This window comes from Homo sapiens, chromosome 1 (genome assembly GCF_000001405.40).
Source record: "Homo sapiens chromosome 1, GRCh38.p14 Primary Assembly".
NCBI classification, from domain to species: Eukaryota; Metazoa; Chordata; class Mammalia; order Primates; family Hominidae; genus Homo; species Homo sapiens.
Genome location: NC_000001.11, coordinates 121,184,357 through 121,206,419, shown reverse-complemented (window position 1 = coordinate 121,206,419; position 22,063 = coordinate 121,184,357). Strand labels below are relative to the sequence as shown.

Here is a 22,063-nt window from a genome sequence, read left to right as displayed (position 1 = left end):
ATCAAAAACTATCCACTTCGATCTTACTCCTCTGTCTATAACTCCTCTGCTCCAGCCCAAGAGTCTACTCCCTCACTCAGCACACATTTATTGGGTGCCTACCACATGCAAACATGGTGCAGGAGGCTGGGAATGTTGAAATGACAGGCTGCCCACTGTCCACCCTCAAAGAACTCACAAGCTTTCTGGTAGTGAGTGTAGTCTGGGGGAAGGAGCATGGGGGTGGGGGTGAGGGTGGATAAAACCATCATTGTATTAGGGTGTAGGAAGTGATGCAGGAGCGGTAAGCACGGTGGGGGCTGTGGGAACTCCACTGAGGGAAGACACACTGCCTCTGTTCTTTCCTCCTACTCTCGACTTAGCCAAATCCTAGTCCATAAATCAAGGTCTTATTCATTCTGGCCCACACCTCTCCCATCTCAAAATTCCTCAAGTTCTTATCAACACCACTCATTTTCAGTCATCTGCTGGCTGATGTCATTTCTTGTATTGCTGTGGGTTATTTTTTTTTTTAACTACTTTCGTATAGGTAGGCTTTTTTTCTCCATGGTTTCTATGATCACAGACAATAAGGACTAGGCTCTAGACAGTTCTAAGTCTCTCACGGAAACTACATACTCATTATTTTGTGGAATAGTTGATATATTTGGAACTACTGACAACTGCAAAATAACACATTCCTTTCCCTTTGAAAAACAGGCACTTCCCTCGCTGCTAGGTTCTGAGTTCTGTGTTGTCTTACACTTTTCATCCAACCCAAGATGAGAGACGAAACCCTTGCTATCTCAAAAAACGATCCAAAATGTAATTTGTTTAAAAATGGTAGTTTTTAACTTTTAAAATTGTTCCATCTAAAAAGTTATTCAAATAAAATCTTAGCGGGACACCCAATATCGTGAACATAAAAGCAGAGCTATTCTGGTTGGAGCTGTGGGGACAGCCTAGTGCTGCTACCTCAAAGGGGAAAATATTTGACTCCCTCATCAGCAACCCCTGATGCACATCCAGCGGCAGCACCGCTACAGCATGATGGAGAACTCATCTTGCCCACAAATATGTATAATAAACTTAATGTATGTACAAATGAGACATTACAAATCAATGGGGAAAAAGATGAACCCTTTAATAAATATAGCCACATGGAATATAAAATAAAGTTAGATCCCTACCTCACGCTGTTCACGAAAATTTACTCCTTGTTTATTCAAGACGTTATGTGAAAGGCAAAATGTGTAGGTGAAAATATAGAAGAATATCCTTATGATTGTGTGTGTTTGTCTTTTAAATAAATCAAAACAGTAAAGAAAATTAATTTCTTTAACAAAAAGTAAATTTGACTATATTAAATTTGGAATTTCTTTCTTTTTTTTTTTTTTTTTTTTGAGACAGGGTCTCCTTCTGTCACCCAGACTAGGGTGCAGAGGCATGATCACGGCTCACTGCAGCCTTGGCCTCTAGAGCTCAAGTGATCCTCCCACCTCAGCCTCCTGAGTAGCTGGGATTATAGGAGTGCATCACCATGCCCAGCTAACTTATTTGTATTTTTGGTAGAGACAGAGTCTTAATATGTTGCTTCAGCTGGTCTCAAACTCCTGGACTCAAGTGATCCTCCCACCATGGCCTCCCAAAGTGCTGGGATTGCAGGTGTTAGCCACCATGCTTGGACTTGGAATTTCTTATATATCAAATAATTCAATTAAAAGTAAGATGATAAACTAAATCCGGGAGCAGGTATTGCAACCTATAATCGTCAACAATGAGTAAACAGAATATAAAAGGAACATCTACACATCAATTATTAGAAAAAGCAAGATGGCCTAAAAGAGTTGTCTCTAGATTGCCATTTAAGAACTACTCTGAGGCCGGGCACGGTGGCTCACGCCTGTAATCCCAGCACTTTGGGAGGCCAAGGTGGGAGGATCACTTGAGGTCAGGAGTTCAAGACCAGCCTGGCCAACACAGTGAAACCCCGTCTCTACTGAAAATACAAAAATTGGCCCAGCGTGGTGGCACGCACCTGTAATCCCAGTTACTTGGGAGGAGGCCATATATTATCTCAGTTTATCTATACAACCACCCTGGGATGTAGGCAGAACATATATTATGCCAGTTTCTTGATAAGGAAATTGAGACAACTTAAATGATCAGTCCAAAGGGAGAGAAATATACATGTATCTTCCCTAGTAAGATGCAAAACCTACTTTTCTATCTTCTAATGTACAATCTTGCCATTACAAAAAACTACCTCCATCTTTTTTTTTTGGAGACAGGATCTCCAAAATGTTGCCCAGGCTCATCTTGAACCTCTGGGCTCAAGAGATTCTCCTGCCTCAGCCTCCAGAGTAGCTGGGACTATAGGTACACATCACCATGCCTGGCTTATCTCTATTTTCTAAAAAATACCTGTATACACAAAAATCTATACATGAATGTTCAGAGCAGCTTCATTCATAACAGCCTAAAATAGGAAACAACCCATATGTCCGAACCATCATACATTCATACCATAGAATACTGCTCAGCAATAAAAAGGGATACACTATTGATATGCACAACAACCTGAATGAGTCTTCAGAGACTTGTGCTGAGTGAAAAAAAAAGGCCAATCCTAAAAAGCTACATGCTAATGGTTCCATTTTTATAATATTCTTGAAATGACAATATTATAAACATGGACAAGAGATTAGTGGTTGCCAGCAGTTAAGGACTAAGGACTAAAGTGGGGTGAGATGAAAGAGTGAACTGGGAGGGGCAGGACTAGAAAAGGACAACATGAGTGATCCTTGCAGTGATGGAACTGTTTAGAATTTTGACTGTATCAATGTCAAGGTCCTGATTATGATATTGTGTTATAGTTTTGCAAGATGTTAACCATCAGAGGAATCTAAGTAACAGGTATGTGCAATCTCTCTGCATTATTTCTTACAACTGCATGTGAATGCATAATTATCTCAAAATAAAATATTAAAAAAAAGAAAAAAAAAAAGGCCGGATATCATCCTGCCCTGTGTTGTACAATTCTGAGGTTAAATGAGATAAAGTATGGCAAGGCACTTTGACTGCCTTGTGCCCTGTAAATACTAGGTAACATCATCATCTTCCTCTATCAACCAGTCTCATCAGCATTACTCACTGTTAGACTATTCCTTATCCACATAGCCTTCGATATCTCTCTACTATGACCCTATCACTGTACTTGTGTAATCCGATCACCCCTCTTGCTATTGTTTGAATGTCCCCTCCAAAACTCATGTTGAAACTTAATCCCCATGGTGGGGCCTTCAAGAGGTGACTGGATCATGAAGGCATGTCATCCTGAATGGATTAATAGATTAATGGGTTATCTTGGCAGTGAAACTAGTGGCTTTTTAAGAAGAGGAAGAGGGACCCGAGCTGGCAAGTTTACACACTCAGCTCCCTCTCTATGTGATATCCTACGCCACCTTGGGACTCTGTGGAGAGTTCCCATCAGCAAGAAGGCCCTCACCAGATTCAGCCCTCAATCTTGGACTTCCCAGCCTCCAGAACCGGAAAAAAAAAATTGTTTCTTTGCAAATTACCCAGTTTCAGGCATTGTGTTATAATCAACAGAAAACGGACTAAGACATTTCTAATAGACTGCAGCTCCTTGAAGGCAGAAACTTTTTTCTGTATCTCTCTATGCCCACAGCTTAGCATAGTATAAAACATATAGGCCAGGTACGGTGGCTCACGCCTATAATCCCAGCACTTTGGGAGGCTGAGGCAGGCGGATCATGAGGTCAGGAGTTCGAGACCAGCCTGAACAACATGGTGAAACCCTGTCTCTACTAAAAATTTAAAAATTAGCCAGGCGTGGTGGCACGTGCCTGTAATCCCAGCTACTCAGGAGGCTGAGGCAGGAGAATCACTTGAATCCGGGAGTCGGAGGTTGCAGTGAGCCAAGATAACATCACTGCACTCCAGCCTGAGTGACAGAGCAAGACTCTGCCTCAAAAAAAAAAAAAAAGACAACATACAGTAGGTGCTAAATAAATGGCTGCCAGGTTGAAATTAGCTCATGATCTTCTTGTTCAATACAAAGTGTCCCAACACTGGAGGAAGTGAGGAGGGGAGGGGACAGGAAAGAAGAAGACTCCAGTAGCTATAAGCCAACACCTTGAAAGTTTCATCAATAGCCTCCTCCTTCCCAAGTTGCTGAGAACCCAAATGAAGCAAATGTCTGTATAGAGGGTGTGGCCACAGCAGCAAAAACATGAGTTCAATTCATCAAGTCTCTTCTTTAAACTATTTCAAGTTCTGCAAATGAAGGAACTGACCATTTATAGATTGGGTCACTGGAACAAGATGGGAAGGTGGGCTGCGGTATACTATTCTGGAAAGGATTTTAAAGGTTAGCTGACAGCCCTTTTCCTGAAATGATTAACACTGAAGAATTGTCCGAGGGCAGAATGTATTTAAATACTCTGTCAAGATCTCTCAGAGATCTGACACTCTTGGCCTAGGCAAACATATTTGGCTAGTGAGGTGGGGAGGGGGTTCCCATGCCCTGAAAACAATGCTAGCTCCTCACTCCTACTCCAAATAGTTTCAAGCATAAAAAAAGTACACGCAGTTGCTTTGCTGCTCCTAACGTTATCGGATAATTTTTCAAATTCTTACTCAATTACATATCACGCTCTTATCTTCAATCTCCACAGGCCAAATAGCCTTGCTTTCACATCATGCCCACTAAGCCTGCAGAACACAAGTATCCCTCCCAAGTAATTCCAGCTCTCATAAACATGAGATCATTTTACATTAAGTTTTGTTAGAGTATTTGTGTGTATGGTGTTTGTGTGCGTGCGCGCACACGCGCATGCCTAAGTGTGCATATGCCTTTTCTTCTAATAAGAGTAAGGAGATTTAACACAAGAGAAGGTTAGAAACTTGGGAGGTTTCTGTCTCTGCTTAATGATTAACTCTTTTGCTACTGAATCCAGAAGAGCTGGCCTTTCTGGACTGGCAGTCCCACTCCCTGGCCAAAACAGCAAAAGAAAGCTCATACGCACACATTCACTCTTAGAAAGAAGTAACCAGCACAAATCGGTTTCAGCTTTGGCAGTGAGAACACTATTGCAGTTTTAAGGAGAATTAGGTGTTTCCATATTGTGTTGTTACTGGCCTTAAAATATCCAGATCAAGAACCTCATTAATCAAAGTAACACGTCATCTACCCAAAATGCTTCAATGTTTGATTTAAAATTGCTGACAGCAAAGAACTGAGATAACTTACATAACCACAAATCACTGAAAAAGAGAGATCAGGAGATACAGCACAACGGACTCTAAAAATGGCTAAAAACACAAAGCCTAATTAATGTCATTTAAAGATGAAACCTTTAAGAAGAAAACAAAGAAAAAAAAAAAAAGATGAAACCTTAAACCAGAAGTAGAAGAGGGGAGTAGGAAGAACCTGTGCTATCTATTCTCTGGTTTCTATCCTTCCCCCAGGATAATAATCAACATCTAGACTCTATGTGACAACTCACTTAACAATAGCCATTTTTTGTTCATATGTCCTAAAAATCATGAAGCTAGGAACTAGTAATCCATCTTTCCACTTTCCAGCTGAGAAGCTGAGAATCCCAAAGGTGGAATGACATCTTCAACATTACATAGCTGGTCCTCCATTACCCTACATTTCTTCCTCCCTATGAATGATATTTTTTAAATGCTGTAATGATAAAAATATGAGCTGTCATTATTATTAATAGTACTCATTTAAAACAACAGACTATTACTAGCCTATTCATTAGGCAAAAGGAAAACAAACATAAACATGAAAACATTTCAATTCCACATTACAGCATGCTTCATCACAATCCTCAAAGAAATCCTTAGTTGACAAAAGGCCTAATACATAAAGAGCAATGTAAGAGGCAAGAGGCCACTCCACATCCTAAAAGGGCCTGAAGTCACTTCCCGAACAACCCAGATGTCTAGATCAACCCTATACCAGTTCCATAACCACACTGCCTCCCCCAGGTTTGTCCCAGACCAGATGTCAGAGATTAAGAGCCTCCCACTTCCTTATTTCTTTAATTTTCATTAAGGACAATCAATCAACTTCCTTTTTCTTTTAAATTTAAGTACTGCACACAACAACATAAATATCTGTAATACTAAGAGTTACACAAATTCCATTTCTGACCTACCAACATGGATGGGGAAAACCATACAAACCAGTTACAGCAGGGAATTTTCTAACTCTAGAAGTCTCTGAGCTTACTGGAAGTCCAAAGTTTAATAGTTATCCTGATTAAAACATCCTGATTAAAGTGATCCAGTCACAAGTTCACCTGTAGGCCCATCAAGTAACTCTCTCTCCCCTCGATTTTTCTCCAGCTGTGAGGCACATCTTCCTATTAGATCGTGATACTTCAACAAGTATCACTTCAACTGCTCTCCAGGCCAGCTGCCACTCTGGTACTACCTACCACCTGGGGCCTACCCTCCATAAGTGTGCAGCAGCCATGCAGGCATGGCAAGTTCTGGGGGTGGAAAGAATGTCATTCAGAGAATATAATGGTTTTTGTACTTCAAAGTGTGTCTACTTAAAAGGGACAAATCATCATCTTCAACATCTTTTTTGTTGTTTGTTTTTGAGACGGAGTCTTGCTCTGTCACCTAGGCTGGAGTGCAATGGTGTGATCTGGGCTCACTGCAACCTCCGCATCCCAGGTTCAAGCAATTCTCCTGCCTCAGGCTCCCAAGTAGCTAAGATAAATTACAGGCACCTGCCACCATGCCCAGCTAATTTTTGTATTTTTAATAGAGACGGGGTTTCACCATGTTGGCCAGGCTGGTCTTGAACTCCTGACCTTAGGTGATCTGCCTGCCTCGGCCTCCCAAAGTGCTGGGATTACAGGCTTGAGCCACCCAGCCAGGCCGATCTTCAACGTATTAATAAGCAAAAATCATGAACCCTGAAAGCTGGAAGGACCTTAGAAAGTTTCTAATGTTTAACCCCTAGTATTTTAGATGAGAATACCAAGGCATAGGGAGGTACAGTAGGTATGTAACAGAAAGACATTTAAAACACTGCATTAATTCTTTATTGTACCAAGTTACTAGGAAATGAGGACAATCAACTGAGTGTGTACAGCATCTCATAGTTTCAACTGAATTCTTTCATTTCAGCTTCACACCAGTGTTAAGTCAGCTTGGGTTCATAATCTGTCCTCATCACTTACTAGCCATGTGCTTCAGAGCAAGTTATTTAACCTCACTGTGCGTCATCTGTAAAATGGGGATAATAATAGCAGCTACCTCACAGGACTGTTGAGAAATTCATGAGTTCATATATGTAAAGCACCTAAAACAGAGCTGAGACATAAGAAGCACTTGATAAATGCTAACCATCATCATCATCATTATTATAAGGGCCAAGAATTGTTGTTCCCATCTTACAGGGATTTTATAGGGAAACTAGGGATTTTGAGACCTTAGGTGAGTTATCTCTAAAATCATGGCAGCCAATGACAAAGCTAAACTAGAACCCAAGCTTTCTGCCTCCCAATCCAGCACTTTCCCTTAGGATCATTCTGCCTGTGTAGAATCCTGTAGCTCAACGCGTAACAAAGTACTGTATTGGCCCAAAAGAAATGTTGCTCCAGAATAGGTACCTCAGTCAAGATGTCTTCCCAAAGAGCAGCTTACTCATCTGACAAGCTCTGGTGCAGTATCTCCACCGCCTACCAAAATAATAAACACACGCACACACAAAATCTAATGGGGAAAGGAAGCAGATTTCTAAGGGATTTCAATGTTTGGAGAAGAGTTGGCAACAGCCAACTCTTCAGAAACAAGACATATTTCTTAAAGCTTATGGCATGGCTTGTCATGGCCAGCTCATGCTCTTAAGTCCCTTTGTTTTCTGTGCTTTGTCCTCCTGTGGAGCCCTGGCCACCCAGCCACCCATGGCTGCCAGGGTCATCTTCTCCAGGGAGAGTATTCAGATCCTGCCCACCATGCCATGATTCTAAATGCAAGATCTGGGCTCAAACAGCAAAGATAAGGTCCCAACTTTCACAGTGATTTCTGGGTCACCTCTCCACTGATTAATGCATTTAGAAGATATGGTTAAGAAAAACAAACAAACAAACAAAAAAAAAAAACAAAGAGAATATGCCTTCTTCCTAAAGGATGATATCCTAAAATATACACCAAAATGGAGGAACATGTCCCAACTGTTTTTCCTTCCTCACGAATACATATTTCAAGTTCAGAACCATTCATTCACAACGTATAAATAAGGTCAAGGCTATTTCATACCAAATGACTTGAAAAACCATAAGGGACCATTTTCCTGCTTGTTCCTTAGGACCTCTCCTTCCCCATTTACCAAAGATCTCACAGCTGCTTCTAACCAGGCAATAGCTCTCTCCACACCGTGCTTTGAAAAAGGAACAAAACAGTTCCTTTTTCAGGTCAACCCAGTTTTAACTCCAGGTCAAGACAGACAAACTTTCTCAAACTTAGACTTTTAGTGCCTGATTAAAATGGTGAATAAATCCTGGACAAATGTACAATGTGTTTTTGCTTCAATTACAGAAAGCCTTATGTTTGTTTTAAACTCTCGGGAATTTCAGTGTTAACATTTTTCTTGGTTTCCAAGGTGAGAGATGTGACTGAAGAAATTTGGTCAAAGCAAGTATAGCTCTAGGGCAGTGACTCTAAAGAGGGCAGTGATTCTAAAGAGGGCTGTGCCAGCAATAAATTTAAGGAGAAACACACCCCCGTGGGGGAGGATCCATAAGGCTATGTAGTTTGTACTTGTCCTTGTATAATGCAAATATATTCACAAAGTTTAATCTATATCAAATTTCAAATAATATTAACATAGGGCATGGGTTTCTTACTGGAGTCGGGGAGAAATGCAGAAGCGTGCCATCATGGCACTATCACATCCAAACTCAACTCAGAAGACAGTTCAATTCAACTTATAAACATTGTAGTGCTTACTATGTGTCAGGAGCTGGACATGCAGAAATGAATAAAAGACCATTCTTTCCTGAAGGTGCTCAGTGAGTTGTAAACAAAGAGATGTAAATGAAGAGATCGCAATGTAATATGATGAGTGCAATAATACAAGAGTGTACAAAGACACTGCAGAGGAGATGCTGAGAGCGTACTGATGAACTCTGTGCAGAAGGCAAGGGGAGATGCTGAGGAATCCTGCTTGGGATCCCGCACAGGGGAGCAGGGAAGGCTTCCTGGAGGGGTGGCATCTGAGCTGCTTTAAAGGATGAATAAGTTTTACAGGTTCAAGGAAGAGGACCCATTCCAAAGAGAGGGCACAGCATGGATACAGCACAAACCATGACACAACATGATAAAGAAAGGAAACTAGAGGCAGTTCAGCTGTAAGGCAGTATAAAATGTAAGCAGGGTAAGTGGGAAGTGATTAATATTAACAGTCTTTTATGCTACGATGTTAGCAAAAAAAAATGAGTTTTTAAAAATCACTCTGGTGACATTGTGCAAGATACAGTGTCAAGATACAATTAAACTATTTCTAAAAGATTATTTGTAGTAGTTAGGTCATCCATTCATTCAGTACTACAGACAATAAGTGTTTACTGAGAGCCACCATTTGAGCTACAATAGTCTTCCAGACACGTTTCCTATCTGAAGGGACCTTATAATAAGCTATTTATTTAGCATTTAATATTTGCCATACACTGAGCCAGTACTCTTAACACAACTGCAATTAATAGCAAGGCAGGTCTCATTATCTCCACATCACAGAAAAGGAGGCTTGGAAGAGAAGTTGAGTGACTGCAGCAAGGTCACACAGCAAGGAGGTGATGCTGACAAGACTCCAACTGAGGGCTGGTTCCAGAGCCTGTATTCTTTGCATTGCGCTACACAACTTCAAAACATTCCTACGTTCAGAAGTCTGGTAGAAGAAAAAAGAATGAAATACAAATATTCCAAACATAAGGCAGTATGAGATCAATGCCATATGAGATCTATTAAGAGAAGCACTGTGTGGGTGAAATAGAGAGAAGGGTTATTTCTGGTCAGAGCAATTAAGGAAGCAATCCCAGAAACGTTGGGCTTTACCAGAAAGGTGAGATTTCTTTCTTTCTTTTCTTTTTTTTTTTTTTTTTGAGATGGAGTTTCACTCTTGTTGCCCAGGCTGGAGTGCAAGGGCACGATCTCGGCTCACAGCAACCTCCAACTCCTGGGTTCCAGCCATTCTCCTGCCTCAGCCTCCCAAGTAGCTGGGATTACGGGCAAGTGCCACCACCCTCAGCTAATTCTACATTGTAAGTAGAGACAGCGTTTCACCATGTTGGTCAGGCTGGTCTCGAACTCCCGACCTCAGGTGATCCACTGCCCCCAGCAGAAGGATGAGATTTCAATAGGTGAAGATACGGGACTGCGCAGCGAAAAAGGGGCATTTCATGAGCAACACGTAGAACTTAGACTCTGGCGACAACCAAGGTTCCTATTCCATTATTCACCAGCTGCAGACCCTGGAGAAATAACTGAATGTCCTACACCTCACTTTTTTCATCAGTAAAATGGGATACTAGTAACATCGTTTTCCTAAAGTTGGAGTAAGGATTATGGAATAATCTATATAAAGTATTTAGCATAATGCTTAGTAAGTGGTAAATATCCAACAGACAGCAAATGTTAGCTAGTAGTCTATGTGTTTAAAGAATGGTAAGCAGTCAAGTTAGGCTTCCAGTCCTCTTAAAGCAAAATAAGAAATGTGGTCGAAACAATAGGTTGCAGTCAGATTGAGAATGAAGTTCATGTCTACCTTAGAAAGTTGGTCTGTATTTAGCAGGCAATAGGGAGTCAATCATTAGAAGAAAGAAGCCATATTAAGAACATTCTGAGTAGATCTCCAGTGGGAGCCCCTAGCCCCTCTCCTTGACATCTGGCTTATTTGTGACCCCTTCTAAAAAGGCATGAGGCCCTAGGACTAGTTCAGGCCAGATCTATTTTTTCGTTTGCTTGTTTTTTGTTTTTGAGATGGAGGCTTGCTCTGTCACCCAGGCTAGAGTGCAGTGGCATGATCTCGGCTCACTGCAACCTCTGCCTCCTGGATTCAAGCGATTCTCCTCCCTCAGCCTCCTGAGTAGCTGGGATTACAGGCACCCACCACCACGCCCAACTAATTTTTGTATTTTTGTAGAGATGAGGTTTTACCATGTTGGCCAGGCTGGTCTCGAACTCCTGACCTCAGGTGATCCATCTGCCTTGGCCTCTCAAAGTGCTGGGATTACAGATGTAAGCCACCACACCCAGCCAAGCCAACTCTATATGGAAACAGACACTGTCATTTGTCCACTCCTAACATGGCCATGATTTTTTTTCTTTTCTTTCTCACTCCATCCTGTACCTTCCCTCCTAAAAGCAGAGTAATGGCTGAGACACAATTATTAGCCTGACTTCCCTTGGAGATTGTCTTGGTTAAACAAATTTTCCAGAAACTAATCTGGGTAGCTTAGATCATTATTTATTTGTTACTTTTTAAAATTTGTTAATACCAGGCTTTCACTTAGTTATCTTGAAGTTAATGCCTCTTCTATAACATAATTATTAGCTCTATCACCTAGGCTAGACTGCAATGGTGCAATCAATCATGGCTCCCTGCAATCTCGAACTCCTGGGCTCAAGCAATTCTCCTGCTTCATCATCCTAAGAGAGCCTAGGACTACAGGTATGTGCCATCACACCCAGATAATTTTTTTTTGAAATGGAGTCTCGCTCTTGTTGCCCAGGCTGCAGTGCAATGGTGAGATCTCAGCTCATTGCAACCTCTGCCTCCCAGGTTCAAGTGATTCTTGTGCCTCAGCCTCCCGTATAGCTGGGATTACAGGTGCCTGCCACCACACCCGGCTAATTTTTTTATTTTTAGTAGAGACAGAGTTTCACCATATTGGCCAGGCTGGTCTTGAACTCCTGACCTCAGGTGATCTGCCCACCTCCCAAAATCCTGGGATTACAGGCGTAAGCCACCGTGCCCAGCCAGTTTTTTGTTTTTTGTTTTTTTTTCTTGCAAAGATGGGGTCCCACTATGTTTCCCAGTTTGGTCTTGAACTCCTGGGCTCAAGCAATCCTCCCACCTTGGCCTCCCAAAGTGCTGGAATTACAGATATGAGCCACTGTGCCTGGCCAATAGTACTGGTTTATTAATACATTATAACGAAGAAACTTTGGGGGTAATGATTACATTCACTATCTTGATTGTGCTGGTTTCATGGGTATTATATATGTCAAAGCCTATCAAATTGTATACCTTAAATATGTGCAATTTATTAAATGTCAATTAAATCTCAATAAAGCTATTAAAAATATGGTAAAAGTTTAGTAATTCATGTAATTATTAAAAGGTGTACAACTTTATAATTAATAATATACTAATATACAAGCTAATGCACATATTAAAACCTTAAATTTAAAAAATTTATCAGGACAAGTGATTATATAGAAATGTATATACAGGCTTGTAAAACTTTGGTATAGTGTACCTTTTAAAAAAAAAATAACCAGCCTGGGCAATGTAGGGAGACTTCATCTCTACAAAAAATTTTAAAACTAGCTGGGTGTGGTGGCATGTGCCTATAGCCCCAGCTACTTCGGAGGCTGAGGTGGGAGGATCACTTGAGCCCAGGAGGTCAAGGCTGCAGTGAGCCGTGATCAAGCCACTGCAATCCAGCCTGGGTGACAGAGTGAGACCCCATCTGAAAAAAAAAAAAAAAAAAAAAGAAAAAAGAACACCCCTATGTTACACCTATGTTCACAGCAGCATTATTCAAAATAGGCAAAAGGTGGAAACAACCCAAGTGTTCATCAATGAACGAATGGGTAAACAAAATGGGGTATATACATACAATTAAATATTATTCAACCTTAAAAAAGAAAGAAATTTGGACATATGCTACAACATGGATGAACTTTGAGGACATTATAGGAAGTGAAATAAGCCAGTAACAAAAAATATATACAATATGATTCCACTTACCTGCAGTATCTGGAGTTATCAAATAGAGACAAAGTACAATGGTGCTTGCCAGAGACAGGGGCAGGAGGGAATAGGGAGCTGTTGTTTAATGGGTATAAAGTTTCAGTTTTGCAAGATGAAAAGAGTCATTTAGATGGATGGTAGTGATGGCTGCACAACAATGTGAATGTACTTAATGCTACTGAACTGTACTCTAGAATGGTTAAGATGGTCAACCTCCTGTGTATTCTACCACAATTAGAGAGAGTAAGGGAGATATGAGAGTTCCTACACATTATTGTAAAATCAGTAAGGGTGTTAATTTTGTAATTTTTTAAAATGCTTTTAAGTGCTGTTATTACTTATGTTTAAACCTAACAACTTCCAAGGCAACTTTCCCAGATTCCCCAAAAAGTCAATTCTGGAGCTGACACCAGGTTAAAACTGCTAATTTTATTACTACCAGAAATCTACATATCAACTGCTTTTTCCCTGCAATATGACATATTTTCCTAATGTAGCTGTCAGAGGTCAAGGGTATAAGGTAAGCACAATTCCCATGAAGCATTCTCACTTCTGGAAGGACAACTCTACAGGTGCCACTGGGTAGCCCAGTTTATCTGGAGTGAATAATGGGAGTCAGGGTCTGGGTACCTGCTGATTTTAATAGTGAGGGCGCCTACATACTGCAGCCAGGTCTATCTCTGGACACCTCATAGCAGAGAAATCATCAGAGCCTGTCTAAGTTTTCAACCTGCATGATACATAACGGATGTGGCCACAATTACCAGATAGGCTTCTTCAAAGGAAATTTCTGTTCTCATTCCCCAAGAACACCTGAAATTGAAAAAGCTAAGGACCCCTCATGAACACTGTTTCCAACTACTGCTTCTTTGCACAGTACACTGCATCCCCTGGCTCCTTGCCTACCACCTTCCTCTAGGGTCTTTCAATTGCAAGATGCAGAGTATGGTACTTGAAAGTTTCCAAGAGTTTCATTTTCTTCCAGGAGTTCACCTTACTGCTGCAGAGTAGCTTTTTTTGTTGTTGTTTTTTCCCCTGAGCAAGGGACAGGAGCCCTCAATCATCTTGTGGGAAAATGATAGCATCTGCTTGAGGATTCCAACTAAATGTTTTACTGCAGCTTTTCAAACTGACTATATTTAACTGATTATATTTAAAACTGATTAACTGATTATATTTAAAGCTCCCTTGGGGAATGGGAGCTGTGAGGAAAGAAGCTTTGGAGAAGACCTTTGTTGGCATGAATGAAAAATTGCTCAGACCTCCCAAGGGAAAGAGCTTGTTTATATACCAGCCATCAACATTCCCAAGTATATATACATACACAATATGACTCCAGTTTTAAATTTCATCTCCTGCTCTTGAAGGGTCCTGAAAGGGTTAAACTGTTCCAAGCAAAGGCCTGCACTTTTTCTATCAAAATGCTCCAGATGGAAATTACAAAATTTCGCTTCCAGCTCTGTGGTGCACACACACTGTTCTCTTAAGACATTAAAAAAAAAAAAAAAAAAAGACAAGACCCCTAATGTTCTCGAGAAAGAAAATGTGACTGCTCAGCATACAGTGCCACCCTGTTTCAGACTATTTCTTCTGGAATATTTGCATGAACTGTCAATCTCAAGCTTTCTGGGAGACTGTAAAAACTCAAGGTATAGAGAGGGTAAAGGAAAGGGGCCTTAAATAAGGAAAGAACAATAGCTGGGACTGTATACAGTCATTACAGTCATGTGTATTCACCCAAATACCACCCAGATTCACAACCCTGGTAACCATGCCCTGCACCTTACCACCTTCGCTGCTCCAATCCCAGCAACAAGCTAACAGGCTAGAGGCCAAAGGCTTCAGTTTATGACCATGAATCTGACCAGGGTTGTAAAGAATTTCCAGAGATTAATGTACATCAGCCCTCCCCATACCTGCAGGTTCCATATCTGCAGATTCAACCAAATGGGAATGGAAAATATTCAAGAAAAAAAAAAACAATAAAAATACCAATACAACAATTTAAAATAATACAAATTTTAAAAGCAGTATAACAACTATTTACATAGCATTTACACTGTATTAGGTATTATAAGTAATCTAGAGATGATTTAAAGTATACAGAAGGATGTGTGTACATAGGTTATACGTAAATACCACACCATTATTTATCAGGGACTTGAGCATCTGCAGATTTTGGTATCCTGGGGGAAGTGGGGGTAGTCCTTGAACCAATCCCCTGAGGATACTGACGGACAACTACATATGAAAGCATAATGTAAATTGGAAAGAGCTATGTAAAAAGACTAAGAATATTATTGCTTTCAAGTCAGACATTGAGAGGCATGAACTTTCCAAGGAATGTGGGCACCCACAAACCAGAAACAATGATGGTTTTTAAGAAGAAACTACAAGGCAGGTTGACTAAGGAGGCACACCCCTCATAAAACCACTCTGGGGTAGGGTTGGGGCTGAAGCCTCAGGAGTTCCTCAGGGCACATGCAAGCAGGTGGTTTATAGGGAGGCAAAAATCAAGGGATAGGGAGGGTCCCAGAAAGTCCCATGAGATGAGGGTCCCATTTAGAGTCCATTTGACTCAAACAATTCTGATTGAAAAAACAGGACCTGGGACTCTGGTCAAAGACAGGCCGAACCACAGTGGCCAATAATTAGTTTACTTGTTCACTGACAGAAAAAGAAACTGATGTCCAGAGGGTTTAAGTGACTGACCCAAGATGTTTTGTTACGACTAAATGATCTTAAGCTAGAACTTAAGTTTCATTCCTTACTTATTTCCTATCATTTAATAGCTGGCACTTTGGGAGTGAATATGCAATGCAGCCTCAATAGTCAGCCCAATTCAGCAAAAGAAAGGCTCACAGAGAAGTAGACCGTACCATTATTGAGCACTTACAAGTGCAAGATACTGTTCTAAATAATTTATATATCTCATCAACAACTCACTACTATCTTAGGAAATGTATTTTATTTTACCTATTTTCCAAATAAGGAAACTGAGGCTCAGACAAGTCATGTAACTTGCCTGAAGTGAAAGGCTAGCTACTGGCAGAACCAAGATTTAAACCTGAATCACTTTGACTCTAAAAATTGCACTTAACAACCAAACCAAACTGCATAGCTGTTACAGCAATTTTCTTTTTATCTTGGCATCTGTAAGAGAAGTAAGTCTGGCAGCACCATGAGTCCCATATAACACACAAAAAGCTGACACTCATAATAATTCTGACCCAGGGCTTCTAGCTAGTGGGAGGCAGAGCCAAACCAGATCGCAGGCCCTTTGTCTCCAAATTCTGTGCTGTTCCATAGAGAGCCCAGCTTCCAGAATATAAGCTCCACGAGGGTAGAGACTTTTTCTTCTTCACAGCTGTATGGCCAATCGCCAGAACACACAGCAAGCACTCAATAAATAGTTAATGAATAAAGGAATGAAGTCAAGCTGCCATGGTTTGGCTGTGTGACCTTGGAAGGGCTTCTCATCCTCTCTAAGCCTCAGTTTCCTTATATGGTGAATGGAAGGTGACAATAATATCCATTTCCTGGGTTGAGTTAAGGATTAAACCAGACCATTCATTTAAAGCACTTGGGATGGACTGGAACATAATGAGCAACCAAAATGTAATCTATTATCATTATCATTATTACTATTATTATTCATTGACAGATTTGGGCTCCTTAAGAATTTTTTATTTTTTTCCACCCTGGTCAGATGATGTTTCATAGTAAAGATACAGAATAGAGAATTGAGAGTTGGTAAATCTGCTTCTAGTTTCAGATCTGCCACCATCTAGCCGTGTGACCTTGGACAAGCCTCTTCAGTTCTCTGTATTCTCCTCAGCTGTAAAATGAAGGACTAAACTATTCAAATCAGTTCCATAAGCATTCATCAGGCACCTTCTCGGAGTAAGACATCATGCTCAGCCACCTATAAAATTCTATGATCCTGAATAGTATCAATGGGAAAATATCAGAGCAAAGCAAAATAGTCTGTTTGTGGCAAGGTTGAAGAGAGAACCCAAATAGCCGACTGCATTACATCATCTCAATGAGCAATGTTTGTAAATATCCAAAGTGTTTAATTTTGAGACACTCTTGAGAAATCCTTTGCCAATAAGAAATTGGCAGATATGGTTCTATTAACACCTATCAGCCTTGAACCTTCCAAAAATTAAACATTTAAAGTCACTTTGCACCTTAGTCAAATGGCGTGCTTCTGGAGAGAAATCTGGGAAGATCAAAGTTATTAACACTCCCGATGGCAACAGTTTAAGAATAGGATGTGTTAAAAAAAAAAAAAAAAAAAAAAAAAAAGACATATCTGGTTAAAACTGCAGGGGGGATTCCAAGAGCAAATGCAATGCATCTGGACAGGACATGGAGGCCAGTGGCCTATTGTTTACAAAAACAGGCCTGGATTATGAACAGTGACAAGAGGCCAAGACCTCAATAATAACTCACAACCACACCTCTCTCAATCCCAGTTCAACTGAAGCTATCAATCAGTCAACTCCCCCACCTCTGTAATAAACCTACCAATATTTGCAGCCAAGTGGATAGAAGGCCCCTTAGGGCACCTCCAGCACTGACCAAACTAATGACGTAAAAAAGATCCTGTAGGTACAATGAGGACTTCAGACTACCTTCCAACCTTCCAAGAGATAAGGGAGCTGCCCATTTCAAACTCTACGCCTACCCCCACCCCCCAGCAATCATTAGAGGGGAGCCATGGCCCTTCCCAAGTCCTCTCTGATAGGAAAAGGTCTCCTTGCACTGGTGCAGGGAAAGGAGGGGCCCCTCCCTCTGTACTCTGAAACAAAGGAAAACCCAGAGCTCCAACCATGTGGTGTAACATTCAAGGCCACCCACCTCTTCCACTCCCCAGCTAAGGTCTCAATGGGCTGGAGCCACATGGCTCTTTCCAGTGACTGACCAGGAAAGGACAGTGCCTTGCACAAACACATGCTGCAGCTCTTTAACAGGCAGGAACCCTTCCTATGGGAATTGCTGGTTTAAAAAACGCTATCTGAGTAAGGGCTCTTATTCATGAGTCAAGTCAGTCGACTAGATGAGAAGACAGGTCCTTGGTTTCTCCTAGTCCACATTTTGCTTTACCCTTCACATTTTTCAGGAGAGGGAAATGGGGCTTTAAAAGCATGTCTTCCGGAGCAGAGGGCCACAGCACAGAAGGGTTAAACAATTATGTCTTCCCATTTTCCAGAATCAGCACCAACCAGCTACCCTAACATCCTCCCAACTCTATTCAGATTTAGGTGAGGGCGGAGACCGGGTGTGGGTGGCCTTATTCTCTGATCTCTGATTGTATGCAGGCCGACCAGAGACCAGGCAGGTACAAGGTACACCCAAGGTGGCAATGGACTTTTGGTGCCAATGCCATTGCAAATCTCATGTTTTAATATAGTGCATCCGAAAAACCCCTCCTCTCCCAAGGCTCTCCAAATGGTACACCTTCCCAAGGTTGCCTTTCTGTCTGGACTCCTCTTCAATCTCTGAAACAAATGTCCAAACACCTGTCAGATTTCAGTTGTCTTTCAAGGAAACCTGACCCAGAGAACCGGAGGCAAACTGCCTTTCTCTAAGAGCCTCCTGCCCCTCCCCCCACCCTGTCCGGCTTGGGGGGAAAGGGCTGCCAAAATCATGGTCAGCCCCACAAAGATACTCCTACAGCCCACTGCAAAAATTCCTTTCCAGTGTCAATGGCCCCCTGGCATTGCCCATCCTTTGGAGGTTCAGACCCATCTATGAAACCACCTCTGGGGTCAGCCTGCCCCCATCTGCTCCACCCAAAGAAATGAACAACCTGCAAATCACGGTGGAAATACACGCCTCACCAGTCCACAGAGCATTTGCAGTGTGCTATTTTTCAAAACCCTTACCTTTGACCTGAGTATCGTACTCTGCTATGATCTCCTTATCCTTTTTGAATTTGGCTGGAGACGTCATGTTTTCCTTCTTTCTTCCAAATTCGAATTGTGAATTGATAGATCCACGGAAAAAATCCAACCACCTAAATCAATACCTCCAAGACCGCTTCTCTCGAGGGCAGAAGGGGCCCCCCACGGTGGTCTCCAGCGCTCCGTGGAGCGCGGGCTGCGGGCTGGGCAGACGGCTACGGCGGGCACATGCAGACGGTGGGCGCTGAGGCCGGGTGCGGCGGCGGCTGGTGCCTGTGCTAGAGCCGGAGCCGCAGCCTCAGCATTAGCCGGGAGAACTGCAGCGCCCGGAGGCTGGCCTGGGGTCTGACATCAACGACACAGGCGGGGAGTGGAAGTCCTTCCGCACAACATGGTGTGGGGCTGCGGGGGTGTGGACGCGCCCAGCTGTGTCCCCGGGAGGGAGTGGGTGCTTTTCGGGGTGCCGGGGGAGGGCTGGGCGTGCTTCGCGGTTTTTTGTCGTAGAGGCTCAAAGATGCTGCAAATCAAATCCCAAACGGGAGCCGCAACAGCGCAGACTGGATCGGAAGTCGTTTGCTCCGGTTCACTTGCCTGTAAATGCAGGAAAAGGGGGAGGGGGCGATCAGCCAGAGCGCAGATCCTAATCGCGGCGGGGGTGGGGTAGGGGACGTCGTTCCGAGCCCGCCCTGGGCCCATTCCTGTCCGCTTAACGTCTCCCCGCCCGCAGAGCCTGGCGCTACGAGGTGGGGAGGAAGGAAGCTCCCTCCGGATTTTAAGGCTGAAAGAAAACACTTTGGAGCAGCCGCCTGCGCGGGCTCCGGGCGGGGACTGCAGGAACGCGGGGCACCGGGCGGGGAATGCGGCACCTCGGCGGCCTCCTGAGCCCCGCCAGCGCTGGGCAGCGGCCAGCCCGAGGGAGCCCTCCCGACCTAGCCCCCGACGTGGCCCCAGACCCCCGGCCGGGGCACCTCCCTGTACATCAAAGGGGATCAAAGCCGGGGAGGGACAAGCCACCAGGGCACAACTTTTCTTCCTCTCCCGCCCCTCCTCCCAGTTGTTTTGTTTTTGGTTACTAGCTTCTCTTGGCAGCAAAATGTTGATGGGGTGGGGGGGGCAAATCTGCAGGAAAAAGCCTGCTCGGCACGGGACACATCCAGGAAAACAATGTGGTCAGCTGAAGCAGGAAACGGGTTAGAGGATAGGGTCGGAGCCGGGAAAACCGGGGGGCGGCGAGCGGAAGGCAGCCGTCGCCTCCCTCAAGCTAGGGACGATAGTGACTATAAATGCCACCCCCAATATTTTTTTGACACCCAAGCTCAGAGATCCCAGATATCCCACCCAATCCCAGGCTGGGGATGGGAGGAGGTCGGTGAGGTCGCAGTCCTGACTCCTCGCACCAGGCGGTGCCCGAGAAGATCCGGCCCCGGACGAGGCCCAGGGGGCTGGAGGGACGCAAGCGGGAGCGCGGAGCCCGGCGACTAGCTCCCTCGCGTGCCGCAGCGGCGACCCTTTCTACTTGGTCTTTCCTTTTCCTCCGAGCGCCGGGAGGAGGAAGCTCCCGCTAGCGTCTCCCACTTCCCGCGGCTGGAGGAAGGGGCCACGCTGAGGAAACAAGACAGGGAGCAGAGGCGGCGGGGTTCAGGCGAGCGGGAAGCGGGAAGCGAGAGGCGGGTGTGAGATGGGGTCCTGAGGCTGGAAGGGAGCCCGGGGACAACTGGAGTTGCACACGCTCGGAAGGCGGGAGGCGGCAAGGAGAAGGCTGCCTTAGAGGTGAGGGGAATTGGGGCATGATCATGGGCCGCGATGTTGCGTGAAGCGCAAGGATGTCAGGAACTGTGGGGGCCGAGATGTGGTCTAGGGATGGGAGTGGGCGAAGAGAAGTCCATCGGGGCGGGCCGGGGGGTGGGACTCGGGGAGAGCCCCGGAAGCTGCGCGGAACACCCATCCTCCTGGGTCCTAGGCTGGGACCCGGGCTGTCCGCCAGGGCTGGGAGACACTGGAGGAGGCCGGCCGATGATTACGCGCGATGCCAACGACGACTGCCCTACGGTGGACCGCGGCTGCCCGTGTGCGGAGGAAAGGGAGAGGCGGCTGGGTGCTGGCTGCGCTGCGGTCCGTGAGCCAGGACGGAGTCCCAGGCTGTACAGTGATGGGCGGAGAGACTCGCAGTCCTGAGAAGTATTATGGGCTGTACTGGGAGATTTGGAGAGGGTGGAGGAGGGGCGGTCTGAGGGATTCCGGGCGGCACCGCTAAGGCGATGCCGCGAGCAGCATCCGCGCCCTCTCCTTCCCGCCCCAGCCCGGGTTTGTTCAGTCAGGGCTCCAGCCCGGCGGCCGGGAGGAAGAAAAGGAAGAGGGAAGGAGCCTTTACCTGGCTCTGACGCGACGGGTCCCAGGCCCCCGGTTCCGCTTCCCACTCAGAGCTCTCCTCCCCTCTCTTCCCCGCCACCCGTTTCTACGCAGATCGGTGCCCCAGTCCCTGGAGGAGCCTCCGCCGCCTCCGCCAACTCCGCAGGACCCCGCCGGGAAGTAGAGCCCACCCCTTTACCAATCACCGCCCGTTTTCTATCGACCGATGGGGCCCATAGCCAATAGGAAGAGCTGATACCGAGAGGCCCGGAATGAGGGGGAGGAGCTGGCAAAACTTGGAGGTGTGACTAGCACTGCCGAGGCGTGGTCACAGATTAAGCTCCACCCCGGGTTGTTGAACCCCGAAGTAGAACTGATGGGCGGGATTAAGGTGGAACCGACGACCAAACACAAACTCTTGAGCTAAGGCATGGCCAATTGGGCCGGGGTAGAGAGGAGGGGTGTTGCGGGGAATTTTAACCAATAAAGAGTAGAGGCCGGTGGAGACTGTAGTCCCTCTTCCAATAAGAAGCGGGAAGGGCGTGTCTTGCCACTTTCACTAGGGCTAAGGCAGGGTTTGCCGAAACCTCCCGAAGCCGGCCAATGAGATCGGAGGCGGAGCCAAGCTCAGCCGACCAGAAAGCCGAATTGATCTCAGCACCGTTACTGGGGCGGTGCCTACGGTCTTCAAGCCACTAAGCTCTCGTGAGGGGAGGCCCCGGAGCCTTCCAATGAGGGACTGGGGCTAACTCTAGTTCTTCCAATCGGTGCGCGGCGCTGGCAATTCAAA

At 44.5% G+C, this 22,063-nt stretch overlaps 1 protein-coding gene across 2 annotated transcripts in view, besides 1 other annotated feature; it reads right to left on the bottom strand.

Moving 5' to 3' along the window:
* SRGAP2C (SLIT-ROBO Rho GTPase activating protein 2C) overlaps positions 1-21,445 on the bottom strand; it is a 207,900-nt gene extending 186,455 nt beyond the window's left edge. For both annotated transcript variants that reach the window (NM_001329984.2, NM_001271872.3), the window contains exons 1-2: positions 21,296-21,445; positions 18,907-19,515 (exon numbers count right to left, since the gene is read on the bottom strand). In NM_001329984.2, the coding sequence (NP_001316913.1) occupies positions 18,907-18,973 (67 nt within the window). In that variant the 5' untranslated portion in view covers positions 18,974-19,515; positions 21,296-21,445. The remainder of the gene's footprint in view (positions 1-18,906; positions 19,516-21,295) is intronic.
* Positions 21,326-21,620: an enhancer, noted in NCBI's record as "tiled region #3361; HepG2 Activating DNase matched - State 9:DNaseU, and K562 Activating DNase unmatched - State 1:Tss". NCBI's record gives its function as "activates a minimal TATA promoter and a strong SV40 promoter by Sharpr-MPRA in HepG2 and K562 cells {active_cell/tissue: HepG2 | K562}" and the evidence as "EXISTENCE:reporter gene assay evidence [ECO:0000049][PMID:27701403]".